This window comes from Homo sapiens, chromosome 18 (assembly GCF_000001405.40).
Source record: "Homo sapiens chromosome 18, GRCh38.p14 Primary Assembly".
Lineage (NCBI taxonomy): Eukaryota > Metazoa > Chordata > Mammalia > Primates > Hominidae > Homo > Homo sapiens.
In genome coordinates, this window is record NC_000018.10 from 7,005,783 (window position 1) to 7,033,562 (window position 27,780).

A 27,780-nucleotide genomic window follows, 5' to 3' on the forward strand; every position below is an offset into this window, starting at 1 on the left:
CTGACAAGAATAGAAGGACCACTGCAACCCTGAAATCCCATCCTCCAAGCCCAGACACCATTTTTTGTTTATAATGGGTTTCAGTGACAGGAATTGTCAAAAAGAGGGAAAACCAGAATCAAAATGTGGCGGGAGGCAGGTTGGGAGCCTGCAGTCCTAATTCCTCTGTTTTGGCTCCAGTGTTTCCTTGTGATTGGGCCACACCCAGGATCTCCGAGGCTTCGGGTGTGTCCTTGGTGGGCAGCTCATTTCCCTTCAATGCATTATTTTACCCAAGGCGAGTTAATCTTGGAACAATTAGTAATCAATGTTTCCACCTGAGTGACTGTAAAGCATGAGGCTTCAGGAGTAGGAAACGAATATCACATTATTTTGTTATCTGCCTCATTGGCTTAAGCTAAATCATGGACACAGGAATTTGTCCTCGGTCAGGGCTGCGAGGCTTCTGTCTGGGCCGCTTAGTCGTTTACAGTGGTCAGAGCTCTCCATGTGTCCCCGAGACCAATCTTGGCCTAGGAGAAGGTGGCTGAGAAGCAAACACACACTAACATGTGAATAATGTGCTGTTATCATCCCCTAGAGAATATGCATTTTTTTAAAAAATGCAAGGAGAGGGCAATACTTTACACAGAGAAATACATTTTCAACACTGGCATTAACTTATTTTAAAATTCCCACGTGAGCCCCCAAACTTCATCGTATACAGTTCTCATCTATTTTGACTACGGCAACCAGTACTGCAATTAAAAACAAGGCATGCAACTACAGTCATCCATCACTTAAAGATGGGGATACTGCCTGAGAAATGCATCCCTAGCTGATTTCGTCACGGTGTGAACGTCATAGAGTGCACTTATACAAACCTAGATGGCACAGCCTACTACACGCCTAGGCCATATGGTAGAGCCTATTGCTCCTGGGCCACAAACCTGTCCAGCATGTTACCGTACTGAATACTGTAGGCAGTTGCAACACAACAGGAAATATTTGTGCATCTAACTATAACTAACATAGAAAAGGTACAGTAAAAACACAGTATTATAGTCTTATCAGACCACTGTCCTATATGTGATCTGTTGTTGATGAAAATGTCATTATTTGGTGCACGACTATAATTCCCAAATTGATGCCCACAGATAAATTCATCAAGAAAGGAAAATTTATAAAAGAATTTCCACTGATAAGGTCAGAACCACTAAGCTATGCCGTCCTCAAGGAAATAGGTTTATATTTTATATTTAGCTAAATTTAACCTCTCACTAAACCAAGGCACGGCTATGACTTAGACCGGAAATCTGACACTCAGCGTCCACTTTACTTCTAAACTCAGGCAAGCACCCCCACAAACCAGCATACCAGACACTTCCCGGTGTTGGGGTCACAGGTGTCACTGTGGTTGTTGCAACTGCAGGGAACACAAGGAGCAACCAGAGGGCGTGGTCCCCTGTCACTCCCTGCTGGGAGCTTCCCTCTGTGGTACCCAGGGGCGCAGTCCTGAGGGGGTGCAAAAGGGAGGACAAAAAAGTCTGATTAATGAGTGAGTGAAGGACTTGAATAGACACTTCTCCAAAGGAGACATACAAATGGCCAACAGGTATGTGAAAAGAAGTTCGACATCTCTATCAGAGAAATGCAAATGAAAAAACACAAGGTGATGCCACCGCACACCTGTTAGGGTATCAACTATCAAAAAAAAAAAAAAAACTAACAAGTATTGGTGAGAAACTGGACCTTGTATACTGCTGGTGAGAATGGAAAATGGCACAGGAAAAACCAGTAGCTATACCATTTCCATCCCTCCAAAGATGGAAAATACAAGTACCATATGATTCTGCAAGTCCACTTTTGGGTACACAACCAAAAGAACTGGAAGCAGAATCTCAAAGAGATATTTGAACCCCTATGTTCATAGCGGCATTATTCACAATAGCCAAGATGGGGAAGCCACCCAAGTTTATTCACTGACAGATTAACGAATAAGCAAAATGTGGCATGTATGTACAATGGAATATTATTCAGCCTTAAAAAGGAGGGAAATTCTGACACATGCTACAACATGGATGAGCCTTGAGGACATTATGCTAAGTGAAACAAGCCATTCGCAAAAAGACAAGTTCTGTATTACTCCACTTTTATTTATTTATTTATTTATTTATTTATTTATTTTTGAGACGGAGTATCTCTCTGTCACTCAGGCTGGAGTGCAATGGCACGATCTCGGCTCACTGCAGCCTTCACCTCCCAGGTTCAAGTGATTCTCCTGCCTCAGCCTCCTGAGTAGCTGGGATTACAGGCATGTGCCATGCATATATATATATCATATAAGAGGGCCATAGAGTGGTCAAATACATAGAGACCAAAAGGAGAATGGTGGTTTTGGGGCACTGGGGAGAGAGGAAATGGGGAGCTAGTGTTTAATGAGTGCAGAGTTTGCGTTTCGGATGATAAAAAGTTCTGAGGATGATAGTGGTGACAGTTGTACAACAACGTGACTGTACTTAACACAACTAAACTGTACCCTGAAGAATGGTTAAGATGGAAGATTTTGTTATGTACATTTTACCAAAATTAATTTCTTTTTAATTCAAAAAGAGAAAAAAATGATATAGTAGATACACATAAGTTCTGTTCATCTCTGGGAGTTGCTGTAACAAGCACATTTCAACTCAAACCCAGGAAATAGATTTCGACTAGAGTCTCCGTACCTGACATGAGAATCCCACAGTGCCAGGAGGACAGACACAATTCTCTAAAAGAGATGCAACCTCTTCTTCTGGGTGCAGCTTTTCAGCCTTTCTGCCAACCTCCATTGAAATGTCTGAGATTCTGTGCAGCCATCATGTTAAGAGAGGAAACGCTAACATTTGAAAAACTTTCTAGAAACATAGCACATGACCTAACACTTGCATATATATGAAACCAGAGCTTTCTTCCCTGTTTGGAGTAGTTCCTGCTTGTGATTGTAAGTGAAGTGTGTTAAAGCACATTACTAACTGTCATGACACACTTTAGACATTTTAGAATTTAAAAATAATGTGACACAAGTACACCTAAAAGACCTCTTGAAGTGCTGATTTGGCCAAGACCTAATGGCTTTCTTTTTGGGCTAAAGTATGAGATGAGTAGGTGACAGCATTCTTTATACATCACTACGAAGACATGGGCATTTCAGTTTTCATGTGCAGAAACAGCAATTGTTTTTTTTGCATTTTATCTTCAGCTAAGATTCCAACATTATGTCCTTATATTTTATATCGACATTAGCATGCTAGGTGGATACTTTAAGTTATAATTCGCACATTCCATAATGATATTAATATTTAACAATGTTTTGGTAAGGAACTGAACTACATGGATTAATAAAAATAGTAGGTAATGGAAGTGAAGTGAGTCAAATTCTTTCAGTTTGCTTTCAAATATGAAAATAACGGTCAAAATTCTAGAAGCTCCAAGTACCTGCTCTGCTGTAATCCTTGACCATACGATGCCTTGATGAGGATGTACTCAATATCGCTGAGGACAGACATAAAATCCTCTCGCGTGACAGGTTTTTCAGAAACAGAGTTAAAATATTTCCAAAAATTCTGTAGAATGAGAAACACATTCAATTAAGCTCAGAGGCCAAATTCTGACAGGCATAAAACTTATAAAGAATAAATTCTTTTATAAATTTCTCCAGAAATGAGCCATGTTCTGTGCATGCCACTGAGTGTAACTGACAAAGACCTCCTGAAACCTCCATGGACAGGCGCAGTGTCAGTTCCATTATCAATAGATATGCATTACCTAAGGCAGTGCCAGCCACACAGCAAACATCCAGTAAACATCTGCTGGAAGAATAAACACTTCCCAAATCTGAGCAAGTCCAAAGTCTCCTGTACCACTATCTCTATGCAGGTTGAAAATAGTACGCCAAGATAAAGAATTTAAGATGCAGTGCCCACTAAATTGACATAAAACTAATATACATTTCTTGAGAATTTGAAATTCAAACTGTTTTTGGAGATCTTGCTAATCTCACTGGAATTTTGATCCCAGGGTCTTCTTGCTCGGTCTCTCTGTCGCACAAGCTGGAGTACAGTGGCACAATCTCGGCTCACTGCAACCTCCGCCTCCTGGGTTCAAGAGATTCTCCTGCCTCAGCCTCCCAAGTAGCTGGGACTACAGGTGTGTGCCACCATGCCTGGCTAATTTTTATATTTTTAGTAGAGACGGGGATTCATCATGTTGGACAGGCTGGTCTCAAACTCCTGACCTCAGGTGATCCACCCACCTCGGCTTCTCAAAGTGGTGGGATTACAGGTGTGAGCCACCGTACCTGGCTGCTCATTCTCTTATTAATGGCTTTCATCTTTCACTACATCCATAGCAAAGTCAATGTCTTTAAGGAACTTCTATGAAAAGATCCCATTATCACCTCTCTCATTGCTACTTCTTGTTCCTGTCTCACTCCATTCTCTGGGGCTGGTGCATCCATGTAAATGACTTGCTTTCTGATCCGACCACCTTTGATGAGAACTTGAGGCTCAAAATTGGAGGTGCCGACGCCATCCAAAGAATAGAAGGCCACGCTGTACTTCAGTTTGCCACCATAGGCCATGAGCTATCAAATAATAAAGTGTTGTTTACTTCTCTGACAAAGCTTTCATTCAAAAACATTTTATTGCAAGACTGCCACCATAAGAGAGAAATCTTGTATCTTAAAAATACATCACATGGGTGAAATTTGTTGTCTGGAATTTGCTTCCTTCTAATTCCATTTAATTATGGATTATTAAGTTGACCTAAGTTATATAGTTCCTTTCGAGAAAACAAACAAAAGTGAGCTCCAAAATAACAAATCAATGTGGTAGTGATGCAAATTATTTTCAAGCTCCTTTAGATTAAAAATTTCTCTATCTCCAGGAGCACTGGGTGCATATTTGCAAATTGTAAAGATCAGGGTGAATTCACACACAGACTCCAATGTTTATATAAACAAAAATCCAAGTGATGCCTTTCATGATCTTTTATAGTAGTTTTTTCCCCCCAAATGAGTGATAATTTCTTGAAAAGGGACTCCCAGGCCATAGCACCTAGGTTTGTACCAAGAGCATATCAGTAAACACAGTGGGTCCCATACCACGTAATGATATTTCAGTCAATGACAAACCACATATACGACCATGGTCTCATGAGATTATAATAATAACTTTCGCACCTAATGACACATTCCCCTAGAATGTCTCTCCATTGTTAAGTGACACATGACTGTATATGTCTGTTGAATGACTGCTTTAGGAAGAACCAAATTAATATAACGTGAACTTAAAAAACTTTTAAAATTAATGAAAAATTTTAAGGAACCATATATTTGAGGAGACTTTTATGAGCATTAAACTTCTCTGATCCCACTTAAAAGAGGAAATTAATAACTACTTCTTTAAATGACAGGCCGGCCCAGACTATGGTGATTTTAAACAATTTCTGTATATCCTAGGAAGCACCGACTGGCTCTCGGCTGGGCGTGCACCTCACCTGGTCTCCTTGGAACTGCTGCGGCAGCCGCCAGTAAAACGGCTCTGCACGGATGTGCTGCCGGACGGTGGCGGCATCCAGCAGGAAGTCGGGGGCCTGGTAGTAAACCCCCTCGGTCGTGCCCCTCAAGTTACTCTGAGAAACCACACGCAGAAGAGGCTGATCGGAGCCCAGCGTTACCTAAACCACGAAAGGAGGGGAAAGTGCACTTCAAAATGCGAACTTTCCACTCCAGTTTCATTCTTTAGATTCCATCATTGTTTCACAGATGAAACAGCTTCATTATTAAAACAGAAACAGTAAAGACTTTTCCTTTAAACTAAACATCTGGAAGAAAATGAACTGAAAGTGCTTTAAACTACTGCCATTTAGGGCCAAACTGTTGCTACGCTGGGGAAACGTTCAATGATATGCAGAAGACGGCTGAGATTTTGCAGTTCTATCTTCTCTCCAATGAAAGCTTTTCATAGATTAGCTAAGGAACAACATGGACAGCCTTTAGTTCAAGCTCCATTTACTTCCTCGGCCAGCAGAAGCTGAGCTCTGATTCCTGTTCTAACCCAAATTAGCTTCCTAGAATTTTGGATGCCATAAGAGCAAAATTTAATGTGAACACTTGGCTGTGTTTCCCACCCCCACCCACCTCCCAGGGGAGTGGGGTTAGAAGCAGAACACTTTCGCTGTGTGTGACTTACTGGGGTCCTCACGTAGTCCTCCAGCTCTGAGCAGAGGTGGGACAGCCCGGAGCAGAAGCACGGGCTGCAGCCCAGGGGGTTGTCTGCGCGGAGAGCGAAGGTGCCCTCTCGACATTCGTTGCACTGAGGACCAAAGACATTTTCCTACAGGGGAGCAAATAAAGGACTCGTTTTTGCCTAAAAAAGAGATGTGATTTCTGAACAAACAGAGACAAAATAGAGCACAAACATAATTTTAAACATAATTATAGATGCACAAACATTAGTTTCCTCTAGCCAGGCCCGGAGCTTTCTGAGTGTCAGTTTTCTCAAAGATCCAATCAGTGATTCTCAAACACAGATGATTAACAGAATCATCTTGGAAGTGTTTGGAAAATACAGAGTCCCTGATGAGAATGTCCCGAGACAACTCTGGAAGCCGCCTCGAGTCTCCAGGTGATTCTGATGATCCCTGGGTGTGAGAGCCACCGGCCAGGTGATAAATATTATTATTATTATTATTATATTATTATTATTATTATTATTATTTAAGACAGAGTCTCGCTCTGTCACCCAGGCTGGAGTGCAGTGGCACAATCTTGGCTCACTGCAACCTCCACCCCCCGGGTTCAAGCGATTCTCCTGCCTCAGCCTCCCGAGTAGCTGGGACTACAGGCGCCTGCCACCATGCCCAGCTAATTTTGTATTTTTAGTAGAGATGGGGTTTCGCCATGTTGGCCAGGCTGGTCTCGAACTCCTGACCTCAAGTGATTCACCCACCTCAGCCTTCCAAAGTGCTGGGATTACAGGTATGAGCCACCGTGCTTGGCCCAGGTGATTATTAAGACAAGGCCTGCTGCTCTACTCGTCTATCATCACAGCTGTTATCATAAGATGTGGCAGAGTCTGGGCACGGTGGTTCACACCTGTAATCCCAGCACTTTGGGAGGTTGAGGCAGAGGGATCACCTGAGGTCAGGAGTTCGAGACCAGCCTGGCCAATATGGTGAAACCCCGTCTCTACCAAAAATACAAAAATTTAGCCAGGCGTGGTGGTGGGCACCTCTAGTCCCAGCTACTCGGGAGGCTGAGGCAGGAGAATTGCTTGAACCCGGGAGGCGGAGGTTGCAGTGAGCCGAGATTGTGCCACTGCACTCCAGCCTGAGAGACAGAGCAAGACTCTGTCTCTAAATAAATAAATAAGGCCGAAAACGGGGAGACTGATGCTTCCATTACTCCCAGGCCATGATATGTACATGAGTTTTCCTTCCTATCTCCAGTCACCCATCAGCTCATTACCATCATCAAGCCAGAGGGCTCCCATCTCACCACCCATGGGAAAAGGACCAGAGGAGGTGGCTCTGACCTCCTAATAGCAAAGCACATTGGGAAAACTAACGGAAACACACAAAACTTATAATGACATTGAAGTCTTACCTCTTGGGAAAATAATAAACCCCGATTTCCTTCAATGTGGCCAGCACATACGGGAGCCCAATAACCTCACAGGGATCACATCACAAATCCCGAAGCCCTGAGAAACCCACCTCACCTGCATACTCAAGATACGCAGCCACTCAGCCTCTGGGATATATGATTAAAACTTCAGGGCAGTTTTCAAATCAGTTCCATCAACTGACACTAGTAACAGTAAAAATTCAATTTCAAAAATCATCCGTCACTCTAGAGGAGCATAAGAGACTTTGAACTCAGATGCGGAAGGGAGTGTGAACTCACTAGGAAAAGCATCCAAAACCTGGCTGCTTAGGTAAGTAGTCAAAGCCCAGGAGTCATGATGAGGAGCCAGAGACAGGATGAAAGAGGAGGATGGATGGTAAATACCTTGCAAGGGCAGGCCCCGGTTTCCTCCACACAGCCGCAGAGACCCTGCTCCAGGTTGCAGGCGTCCCCCGACGTCCCCCTCAGGTCACAGTCACAGGGAACACAGTCGGGAAAGTCTCTGTAACCCAAGGAACACTGATCGCAGGCCCGGCCACCAAATTTTGACTTGCACTGGCAATGGCCGGTGACCACATCGCACCGATGATGAGTCGACCCCACGAGACTGCAATTGCAGGCCTGAGAGAAGGGAAAACCAACTCAATTAAAAAGGCAGATTTGATGCTTCCAAATGCACACATATTTGAATTACAGGAAAACACTACATGTGGGGAAGTTCTACAAATGAACCATCTCTCTCTTGCTATTGCTGCATGGATTCACGTTGCCATGTGCCAACAGGAGACAGGCATTGTGTTGCCGGAAATCTGTGCATCTTAGTGGCACATGCGCACGGGGCCAGAATTGTGAACTGAAATTAAATCTACTAGGTCAAAACAAGTCTAACGAAATTACTGTAGAAATCAGGCCAGGCACAGTGGTTCACGCCTGCAATTATGGCACTTTGGGATACAGAGGTGGGAAGATCACTTGAGCCCAGGAGTTTGAGACCAGCCTGGACAACATAGTGAGACCCCCGTCTCTACAAATAATCAAAAAATTAGCTGGGCGTGATAGCACATGCCTGTAGTCCCAGCCACTTGGGGGCCTGAAGCGGGAGGATTGCTTGAGCCCAAGAGGTCAAGGATACAGTGAGCTTTGAGGATACAGTGAGCTTTGATGGTGTCACTGCACTCCAGCCTGGGTGACAGAGTAAGATCCTGTCTCAATTAAAAAAAAAAAAAAAGTAATTTCCTCTTGTTTCCAAAACACAAACTATACCCAAATTTAACTGAAGAAGGCTACATAGAAAACTGGAGGCCTCATGGTTTGGACATAAACCCCCAATAAAGTGATTTATTACTTTCTCTTGGAAGATAGTATACATTGCACAATATTTATTAAAGGACACTCAAATATTTTTTGGATTTTCTTTTCTTTTCTTTTTTTTCTGAGACAGAGTCTTGCTCTGTTGCCCAGGCTGGAATGCAGTGGCCCGATATCGGCTCACTGCAAGCTCCGCCTCCCGGGTTCACGTCGTTCTCCTGCCTCAGCCTCCTGAGTAGCTGGGACTACAGGCGCCCATCACCACGCCCAGCTAATTTTTTTTGTATTTTTAGTAGAGACGGGGTTTCACCGTGTTAGCCAGGATGGTCTCAATCTCCTGACCTTGTGATCTGCCCACCTCGGTCTCCCAAAGTGCTGGGATGACAGGCGTGAGCCACCGCACCCAGCCATTTTTTGGATTTTCTAACCATCAATGCAACAACTAGGTTCTTGAAGAAAACCTAGAATAAGGTGTCTTAAGGGTGTCCTGTCTTCCACTTTGATTCCTATCATCTGCATTAAGGTGTATTGTTTTTGTTTTTGATTTTTAAGATAGAGTCTTTCTCTGTTGTTCAGGCTGAAGTGCAGTGTTGCCATCACAGCTCACTACAGCCTTGAATCCCTAGGCTCAAGTGATCCTCCTGCCTCAGTCTCCCAAGTAGCTGAGACCACAGGCGTGTGCCACCACACCAGGCTAAATTTTTTTTTAATCGTTATTTTTTGCAAAGACAGGGTCTTGCTTTGTTGCCCAGGCTGGTCTTGAATTCCTGGCTTCAAACGATCCTCCTGCCTCAGTCTCCCAAAGTGCAGTGATTACAGGTGTGAGCCACTGTGCCTGGCCCACATTGAGTTTTTTTTTTTTTTTTAAATTCACAAAGCTATTCAACAGATTAAAGTCCAGAAAATATATAGAAGAACAGGCCTGAAACTTGCTACAGCAAAGCAACTCTCAGTTAAGCAAGAGCGTGGATGACAGTGCTCACCTGGCACCCCACCTCCGCATCGTAGCCCCAGTGCCCATCCTCACATTCTTCACACTTCACACCCTGTGTGTGAGGGGGGCAGACACACTCTCCAGTTTCTGGGTCGCAGGTATTCTGAGTGTGTGGGCAGTCACAGGCTGAAATAAAGATGAATGCTGGGTTACAGATCTGGGTGATGTCATTAAAGGGCTAAGAGCTGATGCTGTTATTTCCCTTTTATTAAGAGTCCAAGCCACTCTTCTCACTCCTAAAAGACGCCTCACAATTCCCAAGACCCCTCCATGTCTCATGGAGGTAGCCGGCCCTCCATCTCAGGAGATGCTGAGGGAAGCGGGGAAATGGGGACAGGACAGGGGAAATAGAGAAAAGAGTGAAAAAGCCCTCACTAGGTGATCACAGAGGGAGCCAATATTTACTAAGCACTTACTGCAGGCCCAATGCCATGCTGAGGACTTTATATAGAACACTTACACTAACTTCTCAATGCAGATTCTCATTAGCATCCCCATTTTACAGATGAGGAAACTGAGGCCAAGCAAAGTTAAGTAATGAATCTAAGCTCCCACAATTAGTAGGCGGCAGAGCCATGACCAAAACTTAGGCTTGTACCCTGATAGGGACCAGAAACCAGAAAAAAGGTATGAAATCCTCCAGGGAAAGAAGAGAAAAAGTAAAGGCACTTAACCAAAATTAGTTGGAAGTAGAGGGAGGGCCCAAGGAAAGCTCTGGGAATGACTACAAAGTCTCAAACAAGGAAATCAAGGCTTACGTGTACAGCTACCATCCTGGTAGGCGTAGAAGCCATGGGCACACCTGTCACACCTTTTCCCTGCCACACCTGGGACACAGTGACACTGGCCTTCATCCGTGCAGCCATCTGACACGGAGCCTGCCACGCTGCAGTTGCAGGGCCGGCAGCCATGGCCTGAGTCCAGCCCATAATAGCCATGCTGTTTCACCAAAGGGGGAGAAAGTGGAAACCAACATACGTTTTAATAAATGACTCCTCATATTAGTATGTTCCAGAACACACACAGGGTATTTCATAGAATCATAAAGTATTCATGACACCATCCCCATCCCTTTATAGCAAACATCCACTCTCTAGACAGGCACGGCACTTGTCAGCCACACTTTATGACATGGTTTGACTCTGTGTCCCCACCCAAATCTCAAATCGAATTGTAATCCCCATGTGTCAAAGGAGAGAGGTGATTTGATCATAGGGGCAGCTCCCCATGCTGTTCTGGTGATAGTGAATTCTCATGAGATCTGATGATTTTATAAGTGTTGACAGTTACTCTCTCCTGCTGCCTTGTAAAGAAGGTGCCTGCTTCCCCTTCCACCATGATTGTAAGTTTCCTGAGGCCTCCCCAACCATGCGAAACTGTGAGTCAATCAAACCTCCTTTGTTGATAAATTCCCCAGTCTTGGGTAGTATCTCTATAGCAGTGTGAGAACAAACTAATACACTTGGGGACTTAGCTCCTTCTGAGTCATGGATTCAATCGCCTCTGTACCAAGGCTAAGGTGTCAATTAGTCACATGCATCTTACCAAGCACTGGTCACACTGCTGTCCAGTCACGTTTGGTTTGCAGTCACAGAGCCCGGTCTCAAGATGGCACACGGCAGAATGGGAGCCTTTCACATGGCATTCACAGGCTAAACACATGCACACAAAGACATATTAACCCTCACTTCTGAGGATGGTTATCATAAGATCCGTCATCCCCAAAGGAAAAAAAAAATGTAAACTTTCAATGTTTCAAATCACAAAACTAAAAATAATATTATTGGCAATAACTTTAGAAGTTTAGCATTTTTCTGAAGAGTAAACTGAAACAGGGTTAGTGGAAGGATCCATCACAGGAAAAACACATTGAAGCTATTAAGACAATAATTAGCGAATTCGCTTCACCAATTTCATGACTTCCTCGACATATTTTAAATGAGCTACAAATTCCCATGAAAAACATGCAATGGAGATTTCAAAATCAACTTAGCCATTTGCCCTGATTCCAATCAGGTACATATTCAATATTTTAAAGCTCAGTTAAAACGTAATCTAAATAAGTACATATTAATATTATATTTCATAATTTAATGAAAAATATCTTTTCATTAAATATGATATCCCAGTTCTAAGTCATGAGTCATTTGTAGTTTCAGGTCAGATGGTTCCATTTTATCTACAGTTACAACATTGATGCTTAAAGCTACAAAGTTCCCTACCTTTGCAAAGTGATACAATCTTACGGGTCCAAAATATATTTAATCAATATTCACAGGGGAACCCTTAATAAGCACTTCAGTTAGAATATTTAATATGTTGGCTGTGCGCAGTGGCTCATGCCTGTAATCCCAGCACTTTGGGAGGACAAGGAAGGCGGATCACCTGAGATCAGGCGTTCAAGACCAGCCTGGCCAACGTGGTGAAACCCCATCTCTACTAAAAATACAAAAATTAGCCAGGCGTGGTGGCACGTGCCTGTAATCCCAGCTACTTGGGAGGCTGAGGCAGGAGAATCTCGTGAACCTGGGAGGCGGAGGTTGCAGTGAGCCAAGATCACACCACTGCATTCTAGCCTGAGCGACAAGTGTGAAACTCCATCTCAAAAAAAAAAAAAAAAAAAAAAGAACATTTAATATGTTGCCTGACAAAATATTCCAGGTACTCTTTTTTTTTTTTTTGAGACGGAGTGTCACTCTGTCACCCAGGCTGGAGTGCAGTGGCGTGATCTCAGCTCACTGCAAGCTCCGCCTTTCGGGTTCATGCCATTCTCCTGCCTCAGCCTCCCGAGTAGCTGGGACTACAGGCGCCTGCCACCACGCCTGGCTAATTTTTTGTATTTTTAGTAGAGACAGGGTTTCACCGTGTTAGCCAGGATGGTCTCGATCTCCTGACCTTGTGATCTGCCCGCCTCGGCCTTCCAAAGTGCTGGGATTACAGGCGTGAGCCACCGCGCCGGGCCCCCAGGCACTCTTTATAAATGTGTGGACTCAGAACATGTACAGTGTGTGTCATGACATAACAATGTAAGAAAAAAGAGAGAAAAACTTCACAAATAATGGAAGGCCTAAACACGACCTGGAGGCTGCAGCAAGAGTGCTGGACATGGGACATGACATGGGAAGGTCAGGGGCAGAGGAAACGTGCTGGGATCCGCCTCCTTCATGATCTAGGCCAGGCTGGCCGTCTGTTTTCCTGGAGTGGGGGCCTTAATGCTGCAGTCCCACGAGAGGCCCCATTCACCGGTGCCCTTCAGGGACTTGCTCCATCAACCCCGTAGCTGGACCGTGCGGACTCTGCTGCTAACTCCCCAGCACATCCTTCTCCACTGCCCCCATCAAACACAAGACACCCCCTCCCTTTTATCCTCCATCAGAACATCCACCTCCCTGGCACGTCCGTCCAATCCAAGTTTCGCATAGTGTCCTCCTGGCCCCTTGTCTGCTGCAACTGTTCTCCCTAAAGTCTCCAGAGATTTCCCAGGCACCAAATTCAGGGAGCAGACTTCGGTCCCCCTCTTACCCCGTGGCTCTGCGGAAGGGACCCCGTGACCTCCCTCTCCCTTTTGCATCGCCCTCTTCCTGTGGTATTTGGGACGCCCACTCTCCTGCCCTCCCTCTTGTTTCTCGTGTGTCTCCCCTCCGTGTTTCATTTCAAGCCGCCTCTTTCTCTGGGGAATATTTAAAGTTCAATGCAAGTATGATCAATGTAAACTATTGATGATAATTTAAAAAATCATATTCACTGTATGATGTGTCTGTTAGTCTGTGCCTGTCACATTCAGTATTTCTTTGTACTTTCACCACAAACCAAGGAGGGAGGCGAAATAATGTTCTCTATTTTCGGTGTGAAATCTACAACTTGGAAAGATTAGATAACTTTCCATAGGTCACACTGCTATTACTAGTTCTCTCTCTGCAGTAATAATTATTATGGTAATTCTTTTTTTTTTTTTTTTTTTTTTTTTGAGACAGGGTCTCACTCCGTCACCCAGGCTGGAGTGCCGTGGCGCAATCTCAGTTCACTGCCACCTCCGCCTCCCAGGCTCAAGTGATCCTCCCACCTCAGCCTCCCAAGTAGCTAGGATTACAGGCACTCACCACCACGCCCAGCTAATTTTTGTATTTTTAGTAGAGATGGGGTTTTGCCATGTTGGGCAGGCTGGTCTCGAACTCCTGACCTTAGGTGATCCACCTGCCTCAGCCTCCCAAAGTGCTGAGATTACAGGTGTGAACCACCATGCCCGGCCTATTATAGTAATTCTTAATTAAAATAGTATTTATGTTATAAATAGTACTAATTTAAAATAGTGTTATTTTAGGCCAATTACTGAATAGCCAGGTACTTTATATATATTTTAATTCTCAGGAGTAGCTCACAATATAAAAATTATCCTCATTTAACTTATTTAATATAAGAGTCCTTTAATATTAGAGTTCTGTGAGGTTTCTCACCACCCTCATCTCCCTCAGTGCTCTACTCTACCTGGACGGCCTGTCCACACCTCCGGCTGCAGCCGCTGCCCCACAGCAGAGGCAGGAGGTGAACCTGACGATCAGTTTCTCCTCCTACCAAGCTTCAAGTGAGTGAGAGTTATGGGGGGTGAGGGGAAACAGATAAATACTGGGTTGAACTATACGCGCTTGCTTTAGAGAAGGTCAATCACACACAACACCGGCACTTGCACTTGGTTTAACCTAACAGACTATAGTATTATATAAGAATGGGGGGCCCTACAAGAAGTCCACAGAGGGAACCCTGTTATAGAAATGGAAGGACTGCTCGTGGGATATGCAGAAACAGTTCACAGGACTTTGTCTCATCGAAGCGAGGGGATGCGAGAGAAGGGATGAGAAAGGATAAAAGCTGTTAAGTGTTCAGAAACCAGAGACAGCCTGGTCAGCATCAGCCCTACTAGCCCAGGCCCAGACCCAAACCCCAGCTGCTCTAACCGTCCTTCCTCCACCTTCCAACCTGTCATCAAGACCTATTTTACGTCTTCTCTTTTATCTCCATGGCAAAGGCCCTACCTGAAGCCCTCATCAATGCTTACCAGAAAGATTCATTTCGGGTCTTGTCTCCTAACCCAACACCCCTGGCAGCCATTCCCTCCTCAACGCTGGCAGCAGGGCGATATTCAAACACACAGCTCCAATCACACCCTGGCCCACTCCATGTCTGCACAAGTTGCTGGTGAGTCCCAGGACAGGGAGGACGAGGTGACCTCAGCACCTCAACACTGCACAGGAGACCCTTCCGACGTGGCTGCTTCCCACCTATCAGCCCGAGACCTCCCCTCCCTGTCTCTGTCTTTTCCATTCTGGTCACTCTCTCTCCAGTGTCTACCTCGGGCAGGGCCTGCCTACTTGCCTGGGCCCGTCTTCCCACGCTGGTCACTCTTCTTGGGGCTCTTCTTCCCATCCTTCAGGTCTCAGATGAACAGCACCCCCTTCAGGAGGCAGCCCGGGCCACCCTGGGCTGATGGGCCTGCCCGCCTCCGTGCCTTCAAGTGCAACCCCCGACAGTCATTCATCGCCTTGACCTTCACAGTCCTGTCCTGTGGCCGCTAACCACACATGTCTACCAAATGCTGGAGATGTGGCTGATGCAAGCGAAGAACCAAATCTCTGAGTTTAAATTTAAATACTGAAGCGGTTTTGTCAATGTGGATGCCAATATTAAAGAAAATAATTTTTGGTACAGGACGGAAAAATTTTAAATATGTTTGAACTACCTTTTCAATTGTAAATTTTCTGTAATCTACATGTAGATCAAGTATTTCTGAGGAAAATGTAGCATCCTAATTGAGCTGGGCTATAAAATATACACTCAATTTTGATGACTCAGTACTAAAAAAGAAAGTAAATATTGCTTAATACTTTTAAAACCTGATCACATGACAAAATGCTTATTTTTAATATATCAGCTCAGATAGAATGTATTATTAAAATACATTTCACCTACTTCTTTTTACTATTGAAAAATGTGACTACTAAAAAATTTTAAATTACATGGGTGGTTTACATTGTATTTCTGTTGGACAGCAGTGGAGTGAAAATATAATAATATATTATATTATATAATATATATTATATAATATAATAATATATTATATTATATTATATATATTATATATTAGAAAATATAATAATAATTGGTTTATTACTAGTAATTATAATAGCTGCCATTTATTTCATGTCTAGAACTTTAAATGTTACCGCACTGACTTCTCAGAAAGGCCTTGATATACACATATAATTATGTCTATTTTATGAATAACAAAATAGTGGCTCAGAGAGGCTAATAAATTAGCCCAATGTCACACAGTTGGTCCTGGAATAAAACTCACATTAGTCGAGACTCCAACACCTGGATCCACAGGTATGTTTTCCCCCCATACCATCATCATGTGTAGCTTCCCAGTAGACTTGAATCACAATTTCCCAACTACCTGTCGCAGTTCTTAGTACAGTGTCTGGGAAATACCGGACACTTAATAAACAATGAATGAACGGAGGAATGAATCACCAAGGCTTGCAGTAATGATGAAAAGAAATGACATGAAAATGATAAAAACATTCTACAAATCGTGAAGCCTTGTAGAAATGCTGTTATCATAATTATCCTGGTATGATAGCCAGTCAAGGTGGCCACCTGCTGGAGATCAGCTTGATTGGCCCAGGGCCATAAAACATTTCCAATCTCTCCACGTGTGCCTGGGAAAGTATGTTTTCTGTACAGCTGGTGCCCTCTTGTGTCCCCATGTCGTAGTACCATAGTATGACTGGCGTTTATATGAAATACTCAAAATAATTTATAATTGCCACTTTTGTTCTTTCACTCCTTCAAAATCTGAGGGCTGAATCATCCCTCCGGCCAGGTCATCTGCTGTGCAGGAGAATCTAGTTTTCTCCACGATCCATAATTTCAAGGATCGAATTCAGCAGAGTGCCATAGGGGTCGGGCAGTTCTGGCACAGAGGGCTAAGATGCACCACACGGTGCTTTACGCAGTTTCTGGGGTTACAGTCTTACCATTTCCCACCCTTCATCTTGGAATCCCATCTGCCTCGTGCAGCCTCTGAAGCATCTCCCTTACGAATGTGACAGGCTCTGAGCTTCCCCACTTTCATTTCAGTCACGGGGAGCAGAGCCGGAACTCTGTCAAGTCACACTGGCCGCTCGGGTGGCAGGCTGCATCTTTCCAGGCCACTGACCCCTATGGGTTATGACTAACCAAGCTCAGGATAGGGTAGCTAGGGAAGAACTGGGTCGTGGGTCTGTATTTGATCAGAGACCCAGCATTAATGCAAGTAACCCCTCAAGAGAGTGTGACCTCCTAGGCGGGGCCCTGTGTGACACATGTGACTATACGGTTGAAGACTTCCTATGGCAATAAACAGCTGACCTGACTTCACGCTCACGCACTCACCGCGGCAGTTCTTGGCTGTCACAGCGTCCCCATAGAACCCGTCAGCACACCTTTCACAGTGGGCGCCATCTGTGTTCCCCAGGCACTTCAGGCACTCCCCGGTGACTGAGTCACAGTGACCAGCCTCCGAGGGGTCCACGTTGCCGCTGCAGTCACAGGGAACACAAGATTCGCCAGGCACTGTTGGGTTTCCATAGTAACCATCTGCACATCTGTATCAAAGATTGAAAGTGGGATCAGACAAATGCAGTTACTTAAGGCCTTACCGCACTATCCAGGGACTCCCTGAATGGCTAATAAATCAGACGGACTCTGTTCCCTGAGATTTACTGTGAAAGGGATATGACTCCCCACTCGGGCATTCCCAGATCTCCTTCACCTGTCGCGGTGAAGGGGGAGAGCATCCAAAATGAGGCATAAATCCAGGGGACATGCACCTGTTTCCAGGGCCAACTCTGACCCACCCCTGACCACTCCGGATGCCGCACAGCCTCCTGCAGGCTCAGCCAGAGCTGGGCACTGAGACGCACACATAGGAAAGACAGCACTGGCCTTCAGGAGCCAGAAGACGGCTACTAAAGCAAACCACCTGTCATCTCCAGAACAGCCCGGAGCAATGGAATATTCAAATGTGTGAACCACAGATACCGACTCCTTGCTGCTTCCTATTGTTTTTGTTTTGTTTTGTTTTTTGAGATAGAGTCTCACTCTGTCTCCTAGGCTGGAGTGCAATGGCGCAATCTCCACTCACTGCAACCTCCACCTCCCAGGTTCAAGTGATTCTCCTGCCTCAGCCTCCCAAGTAGCTAGGATTACAGGCACCCGCCGTCATGCCCGGCCTTTTGTTTTTTTTTTCTTTTTGTAGAGACAGGGTTTTACCACGTTGGTCAGGCTGGTCTCGAACTCCTAACCTCAGGTGATCCACCTGCCTCAGCCTCCCAAAGTCCTGGCATTACATGTGTGGGCCACCAAACCCGGCCTATTGTTCTTGATGAGAACTCAGATTAGCCAGGAAAAGAGTACCGTTCTTTAAAAATTCCCAGTAAGGTTTAACATTAATTTTAAAACATGAAATACTGATTTTTCTCAATGATTCTATGAAATAACAATTATGCATCAAAACTCCAAAACCACACTTAACTACGCATTTAAAAATAAACACATAGAATTTATATTTAATTTCGAAAATGTGTTGAAGCCAGTGGATGCAGAGTACCTCTCACACCAAGCTCCTGAGTAGCCCGGGGCACACCAGTCACAGACCACTTCATCTCCATCATTGAGGTGGCAGGTGGGGCTGAAACTGTCAAAACATTAGAAATGAACAAAATTTTCCAATGGATGAAGCCGAATTTCTAACTATTTAAAATGCTTCATTTCTACTACTCCTGTGCTTCCAGACCTTCAATGAGACCTCCTTAGCTCAGAATCCGGGGCCTCTGGTCACCCAGCCCACCCTGTGAGTCTCAACCCCTCACAGACTCCTGGTCCCATGATCCAGGCACTGACACTCACTCCTCACTCCCTGCTCCCTACTCCTCTCATTCTCAGCCCACAGCGCGCCTGCTTCTCTCGCTGTCTGCCTGGGTTAACCCAGCTCAGCCCCAGTGCCCAACTCAGCTGATGCTTCCTCCAGGAGGCCTGCTCGGGTGCTCCTAGGATGCTGGGTTCCCCAGCTCGGGTTCCCTGGCACTGACTTCCCACCTCAGAGCACTGCCCATACCAGGGCAAAAGTGAGCTCACTCAAACACAAAGTGGTCAGGAGGCTCTCGCACCTCTCCAGGGACCCCCTGCTAACGGATGCCCCTTCCAACCCTATTCCTAAACCTTGAGGATCCTGTGCAGGGTGGATGACAGTACCCACCCCCAATTTCATCATGAGTAACCCTGACTGCATCCTTTTTATATACTGGGAATTCTTTGAGAGTGGGTGAAGGAAGAGTTCTAAAGGTTAAACCAGCGAGAGACAGAGGCTTTTAAGCTGCTGGCCTGTGGGATGCACTTGCCCCAGTGTGACTATAAGACCTTGCCTGGTACATCTCCTTCCACCTCCCTCCATGCCTTCTGTTCCATGGCCTGCTGCAGTTCCTCAAATGGGCGATGCCTGTTCCTGCTGCCATGCCATGGCACGCCCAGCTCCATCTGCCTAGAACGCCCGTCTATGCTGCCTGTGAAACTCCTTCTCCTGCAAATCTGAGAGAAGAGCTTCCTGCACCCACCTAGGTAGGCTGGACACTGCTCTCCCTCCTCCCCACCATCTGGTGGACAGGCCTCACTACAGTCACGACCACACTGAGTCCCCTGGGGCCCACGGCCAGGTGAGAACAGTTTGCTATTCAGAACACCTGCTGTAAAACTCAGGACACAGTAGGCACTCCATAAATATCTGTTGAATCAATGAATGGATTTAGACTGCTCTTGTTTAGCCTCATGCGTACATATTTTGGTCATTAGATCAAAAACTCCCTAAGTCGAGGGACAATGTTTTATTCCTCTCTGTATCCCTCCACCTCCTAGCCCACTGGTAAGTAGACAACATATACTTGTGAAACAACTGATGACCAAGAGGAATCAAGAGGGAAAACGGCGTGTATAGGTCCTTGCTGGCACACACCTCTTCTTGCCTGCTTTCATAAGCCAAACGTTGGTTTACAAGAAAATAACCCACCCCTCTGTCTTTAATCCAAATCAATTGTCACTGGGCAAAATTCACACACGTATTACACACACAGTCTTGCTCTGAAGTCATTAGTACGCATCTGGGTGGGAATCCTGGCCATGCTGGCAGGAACCGCTGATGAGGTCCGAGGCTTACTTGTTGGAGGCTATGGTGAGAGGGCAGGCGCAGGGCTGGCAGTCCCCAGGTGTCCCTCGGGAAGGCTCCCCGTAGAAGCCGGGCAAGCACTGCTCACAGTGGACGCCGGTGGTGTTGTGCGCACACGCCTAGGAACATGCACCAGAAGAATCAGCTCAGGTTGTCTTAAAGGATTTTCAGATTTATCTATAAGCAACTTGAAGTCCAAGCGGAAAAAAAAAAGACAAAATGCTAAAACCAGTCACCAACCTCTGAGCTATATGAGGAAGGCCTCCTGTTTTCAGATTAATATCAGCAAGTGTAATTTGTATAAATGAGAAATCTGAGAGCTTTCTCTCTGACTGATGAGCATGGACAAGGGCAGGAGATGGAGGATCAAGCTTTTGCAAACATGACAGCAAGTGCTGCTTCGGCCAGAACCTTCCGACTGCTACCTCTAAGGGGAATTCTGATGAAGAGTGGGATATGCACGTGGTCTCACAGTGTCCGCCTCCAACTGTTTTTTAGTTGCAAAAGGAAAGAATCGTTCATATATAGTGGAAAAATTGACCAACACCTTGCCTGTGTAATCAGAATTAATATCACCAGTGAGGGCCAGACAGACACTGGGACTCCCATTGGCAGTGCTCTGAGAGACTCATCCTTGACAAAGTATTCCGGCCTGAATAATCCAAGAGAAACAAAAGAAGGGCCCAGAACCAAGGACATTGTATTTTTTTAAAAAAATGATCATATTCGGCCAGGTGCGGTGGCTCATGCCTGTAATCCCAGCACTTTGGGAGGCCAAGGCAGGTGGATTGCGAGGTCAGGAGATCAACACAACCCTGGCTAACACGGTGAAACCCCATCTCTACTAAAAATACAAAAAATTAGCTGGGCTTGGTGGCGGGCGCCTGTAGTCCCAGCTACCTGGGAGGCTGAGGCAGAATGGCGTGAACCTGGGAGATGGAGCTTGTAGTCAGCTGAGATGGCGCCACTGCCTGGGTGACAGCGAGACTCCGTCTCAAAAAAAAAAAAAAAAGATTATATTATTCAAAATGCCAATAGCATAAAATACAAAGAAAGGCAGTAGAAACATTTCCTGTTAAAAGCCTAAGGAGACACAACAATAAAATTCAACATCTGATCCTAGATGGGGGCCTGTGCTGGAGGGAAGGATGCTATACAGGACATAATTGGGTCAACTGACAAAACTGAGCAACAGGTGGTAGGTTAGAAAAAGTAGAGTACCAGCGTTACATTGACTTAAGTTGATAAGTGTACTATGGTTATACAAGAGACAAGCCTTATTCTTGCAATATACACACCAAAATGGCCATTGTCTATGCAAACTATTCTCAAGGAGTTTAGAAAAACATACTATAATTAGATAGGTAGACAGATAATGATATTAATAAGGCAAATGGGGAAAATGGCAACAACACGGGAGTCTAGATAAATGGCAGGTGTTCTACGTACCACTCTTATTCTTACAAATCTTGGGTAAACTCCTAATTATTTCCAAATAAAGAGCTGGGTTTTTTTTTATGGGGAATGAAAATAACTAGACATGAGAAACAACAACAACAACAAAAAAAAGCGATCCACAATCAGGGGAAAAAAAAAACAAAACCCAGTCATTAGAAACATGTCCACAAATCATAGAGATGATGGAATTGGCAGGCTTTTAAAACACTGTTATAGGCCAGGCGCGGTGGTTCACGCCTGTAATCCCAGCACTTTGGTAGGCCAAGGCGGGTGGACCACCTGAGGTCAGGAGTTCGAGACCAGCCTGGCCAACAGGGAGAAACCCCATCTCTACTAAAAATACAAAAATTAGCCGGGCGTGGTGGTGTGCACCTGTAATCCCAGCTACTTAGGAGGCTGAGGTGGGAGAATTGCATGAACCTGGGAGGCAGAGGTTGCAGTGAGCCAAGATCACGTGACTGCACTCCAGCCTGGGCAACAGAGAGAGACTCCATCTCAAAACAAAAACAAAAAAGCTATTATAAGCATGCTCAAAGACTTGAAGGAAACATAAAAACTGTGAAAAGAGAAATGCAAGATATAAAGTAGGACCAAGTAGAACTTCTAGAACTAGAAGCTACCATATCCAAAATGAAGTACTGAATGGGTGGGCATCGGCTTCGACATTGTAGGAGAAAAGACTAGTGAATTTGAAGACAACAACAGAAACTCAAACTTCAGGAAAAAACAAAAGATCCCAGCCTCTATCATCTGTGGATCAATGTCACGTGCAATTAGATTGGCGTGGGAAGCTGAAAAGCTATTTGGTCAAAACTTTTCATAAGTTGATAGCTACAAACTCACAAATTCTAGAAGCTCAATAAACCCCAGCATAAAGAAATACACACCAAGGCACAGTCAAAGTGTTCAAACCCAGGGACACAGAGACCCTCCTAACAGCAGGCAGAGAAAAAAGGCAGAATAACACACAGAAATAAGCAGATGACCACCAACTAACTTCTCACTTGAAGCCATGTAAGCCACAAGGCAACAGAACAATATTAAAGTACTGAAAGAGAAATCTGTAAAAATCAATTTCAAAACTGAAGGCAAGCCTTTTTCAGATAAAGGAGAGTTAAGAGAATCTGTCAACCAGCAGATCTGCACTACAGAAAGGCTAACAATCCAGGCTGTAGAAAGGTGATACCTACTAGACGAAATCATAGATTTATACCAGCGAATGAAGAGCACTGGAAATGGTACATACATGAAAAAATATGAAAAACCTTCCCCCCCTCATTTAAAACATTCTAAAAGAAAGTGCAGTCGGTGGTTAGGAGGTGTGCAGGAGCAAAGGGGAGGGGTGCGGAGGTCGGCACTGGGGCCAGGACCAGGCAGCACTGACCCCCGGGCAGCTACGGGCTCGAAGGGAGCGGGGCTTGTTCTGCACACGTGTGTCGCTGCTCCTCTTGGTGTGCACCTCAGCTCCCATTTCCCCGTGTCCCCTTCTCCTACGGCCACTCATTTTACATACTTTCATTGGTCATTTTTCATCTAGCAATTTAGTATTTTCAGTTTCTAAACCATATACATTTCCATCATTCCTCAGGTTGATGAAAGTTTTCCCATATACCACATTTAATTTGGAATTGTAAGCATTTGTATTACATCCATTTTACTCCAGGGTTTCATCAGTTTTACTTAGGGTTATCCTAGACCAGAGCATCTAAACTGGAATATGAATCTATTAATAAGTGCACCTGGGTTACCTGTAGACTCTGGTTCAGGGGATCTGAGGTGGGGCCTGAGTTTCTGCACTTCTAGCAAGCTCCCAGGTGATGCCCACACTGCTGGTCCTCAGACAACAGAGTCTTAGACCCTTTTTTCCTTCCCATCCTTCATAGGACCTTGGGTTTGATAATGAATCCAAATTAATTCAAGATGCAACTGGTCTTAGTAAAGGGTTACATGGTTGAGCTAAAAGTATTCTGCAGAGTAACTGCAATTTCATTTTAAAAATATTTGATAATGCTCATTTGGAACATGTCTATGGTATGTTTTCTTTGATCAAGGAGTCAGATAGTGCTTTCTTTCTCTTTGGGGAAACTAGTATGTAGTTCTGTTGAAAAACCCACTGAGGGTCTGTTTCAGTGCTTTTTCAGGCGTGTGCCACCAGCCCTTTACCTGACTGTCCCTGTTGGTGAATCTGGTATGTGAAGGAATGAGACTATTCCTCTCCTTGGGGAGGAAAAACATCTTTCGATTGAAAAAAGAAAGACATGAGGGCCCAAGACATGCACAATTTACTGTGATGCCATTCTCTTTTCTAAATCATGCCAAGCTGCAAGGAAAATACACAGACTTCTCCTTTGAATAAAGAGCTAAGAGAGCTCAGAGAGAAAAACAGGGGCTCTAAGAGCAACTGGAACCTCATCTCTAATGAACTGTGAATAAAGAATTAACTCCTGGAAGCTAGATAGTTATACGCAAGGCCCAGGGCTATGAACAACTACACAAAAGGAAGAATTCAAGCTTGTTTTTACAATATATTAGAAAAAAAAAAACCAGCAAGGTTAGATTTAACAGATATATGATGCTACCACGTTTTTTGTATTTCCTTAAATTCTAATTTAAATTTTTATTATTTTTGCCCTCTCAAACATTAATTAAGAAGGGAGAAATAGTAACTTCAGAGTGGAAAAACCTAGCAGACATCACCTAATTCAAGTGACCCAGATTAAGATCCCCAGGAAGAAGACACAATGATATCCTATCCATCTGCTCTCAATGAGAGGGCACGGCACCTCCACGTCTTCTGGTCAAAAATGTGTAACCTCAACCTAGTCATAAGAAAGCATCAGACAAGCCCTGGCTGGGGGACATTCCACAGAATGCTCAGTGCTCTTCAAAAGTGTCATAGTCATGAAGGACAAGGAAGTCTGAGGAACTTTCCTAGAGGAGAGGAGACTAAAAAGGCAAAGTCACTGAATGGTGTGGGGTCCTGGGTTCGATCCTACAAAAAAAAGGAGCATGAGTGAAAAACTGATGAAATCAGAATGTGGGGTGTAGTTCATCTTATCGTGCTACTTCTTCATTCTGATAACTCCACTCTAGTTATGCAAGATGGTAGCATTAGGGGATGCTGGGGGAAGGTTACTTCAGAACTCTCTGTACTTCTGTAACTCTTTCATAGCTCTTCTGTAAGTCTAAAATTATTTCCAAAACATGTTTAAAGCTATAAAATTATTATTTATTAAAATTAAAGCTTTAAGGCCAGTTGCTATTTAGCATTATCACTTTAATGTGAATATATATTTGTAAACATACATTAATGGAAGCATGAGAAATCTACTCTTTCAGCCTAGCTACAAAAGACATAAGTGGCAGAACCACAGCCTGCTGTACCCCCCACCCCACCCCACCCCAAATGCTGGCAGGAGGCCTTGCAAACCCAAATGGCAAAGGAAAGGAGGTGAAAAAAAAAGCAACCACCTCATCAAGCGGTTGGAAGCTGTGCACCTGAGGAAAGCAATCCTGGAGGGACTGAGTCTGCCCGTAAACCACCCCTTCATGCAATTCCTACAGAAGCTTTACTTACAGAACAAAGGGCAAAACAAAAGTTTTACTTACAGAATAAAGAAAAATTAAGTTCTAAGCCATCCTGGACATAAGCCATCCTGGACATCATTCTAAGATCTTCTCCCTGGGTCTGGTAATTAATTTTCCCTAACTCTGTGACTCAGTCAATCTCTTTTGGAAAAAGCATGAACATTTCCCTGCCAGGCGACCAGGGTACAGCTGATCAGCATATGCAGTCACTCCACCTCTGAGGATCAAACCCATGAGACCCCAGAGTGTGGCCTGGCTTCAGGGCATAGGGCCTAGAAGAATTCCTGATTGAAGTTAAGAAACAAGTCTTGCCCCACACCTGCCCCAAAGTTCATTCTCAAGATTAACTACCTATTTCTTAAGCCCTATTTCAACTCATATTGCATGAAAGAAGTACCTGTTTGATTAATTTATCCCAACTAACTATAAAGCATGGTATATAAGTGAGTGTGATTATACTTTATTCTTCTTCTTAGGGTATATTATGTAATATCATGATTTAAAAAAAATACTAGCATTGTCTGTGGCCTCAGCTACTTGGAGGGTTGAGGTGGGAGGACCATTTGAGCCCAGAAGATCCAGGGCTGCAGTAAGCAGTGTTGGTGCCACCACACTCCAGCCTGGGTGACAAGGTAAGACCCTGTCTCAAATAAATAAATAAATAAATATTAGCACTGTCATCTAAAGATCCTATGCTTTGTATTTAATAAGTAGACAACATTTTTTTACCTTTCTATTGCTTTATAGTCTCAGCAAATAAAAACAATTACTTTATATTAATCTAATAAAAAGAACTATAATGAAGTTGTATATCCCTTTTCCACTATTACCAAAGTAACTTTTTTCAAAAAAAAAACAAAAAAAAAAACGGGAAACATTTCATGACATGAGCTTAAATCTGTAAATTTTCTTTGGGGTCTATGAGGCTAGGGTTATTCCGTGGAGGAAGCACTTAAAAAAAAATCACTTGTACACAGCAAATGGCTCTGAATTGAGGAGGAGAGGGCACCTGAACTACAGTGAGAGACTCACAATGCAAACGCCGTGAACATTACACTCAGCTGCATGGCCGTGGCATTCACAGGGTTGACAAATTCCTCCAAAGAGTATTCCATCCACGCGGTAATAGCCAGAGAGGCACGACTGCAAGAGAAGGGAAAGTCATCCTCTTTCCACTACGTTACAAACAGAAACTGCTCAGTTGCCAGAGTACAGAAATGTCTTTTTTCTTAAACATCTTAACTGAGGTATCATTTACATGCTACACAATTCACCCATTTTAAGTGTACAATTCAATGACTTTTAGTAAAAACCTTACCGAGCTGTGCAACCATCACCATAATCCAGTTCCTTATTTCTTTTTAAAGGTAGAAACACACACACAAAAACGTAATGGTTGTGCAATGAGTCTTACGGCCTATTCTTGTTATGGTATTAATATCAATATGTTTGTCCAAGTGATTTCAAAATATTTTTAGCAACAGATTACTTTCATTGAGGATTCCAAGCGCATTTTCATATATTTCACATGTAAGGTGGAGCCCACCAAAGTAAAATAGCGAGGGGCCATAAAAGGTCTCAAAATAGGGCTGGCTTGTCTAAAGCTACCCAGGTCACATGCTGGTGATTTGTAAATGTTCAGATATGATCAAGTTCCATCCTCCTTAGAAACACAGTCAATGGCATGAGTATTGCAAGTTTCTTGTTGACTAAGGCAAGAGGGCAGCACTAAGTCAGAATATTGTCCGGTGCTCCAGCCCATTCCTGGTGGAGGAATCTGATTTTTTTAAACAATGTGACTTCTAATATTTCTATTGCCCAAAAAAGACTGAGCCAAACATTGGGCTGCTAAAGCTAAAAATCAAATGTTTGCCATGACATCCCCTTCAGTGCACTGTTTTCCCCTTAGGAAGGAACGAAAGGAAAAAGACAGGAAGAGAGAAGCGTCACCTCACAGGAGGTCCCTGTGTAGCCTTGCGGACATTCACAGTGCTCCACATCAGCGGCCACCACCAGGTCGATGGCATTAGAGCTGGCTATGTCCAGAGAGACGGACTCCAACCTACAAATAGACAGATTGTTATGTGACTCACACGCTCGCAAATACATCTCACATCTCAATGAAGATGGGCTCCTAAAAGATTTAAATCCGGCCGGGCGCAGTGGCTCACGCCTGTAATCCCAGCACTTTGGGAGGCCAAGGTGGGTGGATCACGAGGTCAAGAGATCGAGACCATCCTGGCTAATATGGTGAAACTATTAAAAATACAAAATTAGCCGGGCGTGGTGGCATGTGCCTGTAGTCCCAGCTACTCAGGAGGCTGAGGCAGGAGAATCGCTTGATCCTGGGAGGCAGAGCTTGCAGTGAGCTGAGATCACGCCACTGCACTCCAGCCTGGGTGATAGAGGGAGACTCTGTCTCAAAAAAAAAAAAAAAGACTTAAATCCAATAAAAGGGTGATGTGATTTTTGTAAATAACTAAAGGTCTTTCACAACAATATATTATCTGGGAGCCATCATTATTCCCT

At 44.2% G+C, this 27,780-nt stretch overlaps 1 protein-coding gene across 1 annotated transcript in view; it reads right to left on the reverse strand.

The window, feature by feature from the left end:
- LAMA1 (laminin subunit alpha 1) overlaps positions 1–27,780 on the reverse strand; it is a 176,056-nt gene that overhangs the window by 64,041 nt on the left and 84,235 nt on the right. Inside the window, exons 15-29 of the mRNA NM_005559.4 lie at positions 27,202–27,313; positions 26,284–26,394; positions 20,197–20,324; positions 18,598–18,684; positions 17,382–17,593; positions 11,496–11,602; positions 10,709–10,889; positions 9,940–10,076; positions 8,033–8,269; positions 6,213–6,356; positions 5,518–5,697; positions 4,418–4,603; positions 3,457–3,584; positions 2,706–2,826; positions 1,357–1,494 (exon numbers count right to left, since the gene is read on the reverse strand). Coding sequence (NP_005550.2) covers positions 1,357–1,494; positions 2,706–2,826; positions 3,457–3,584; positions 4,418–4,603; positions 5,518–5,697; positions 6,213–6,356; positions 8,033–8,269; positions 9,940–10,076; positions 10,709–10,889; positions 11,496–11,602; positions 17,382–17,593; positions 18,598–18,684; positions 20,197–20,324; positions 26,284–26,394; positions 27,202–27,313 — 2,209 coding nt within the window. The remainder of the gene's footprint in view (positions 1–1,356; positions 1,495–2,705; positions 2,827–3,456; positions 3,585–4,417; positions 4,604–5,517; positions 5,698–6,212; positions 6,357–8,032; positions 8,270–9,939; positions 10,077–10,708; positions 10,890–11,495; positions 11,603–17,381; positions 17,594–18,597; positions 18,685–20,196; positions 20,325–26,283; positions 26,395–27,201; positions 27,314–27,780) is intronic.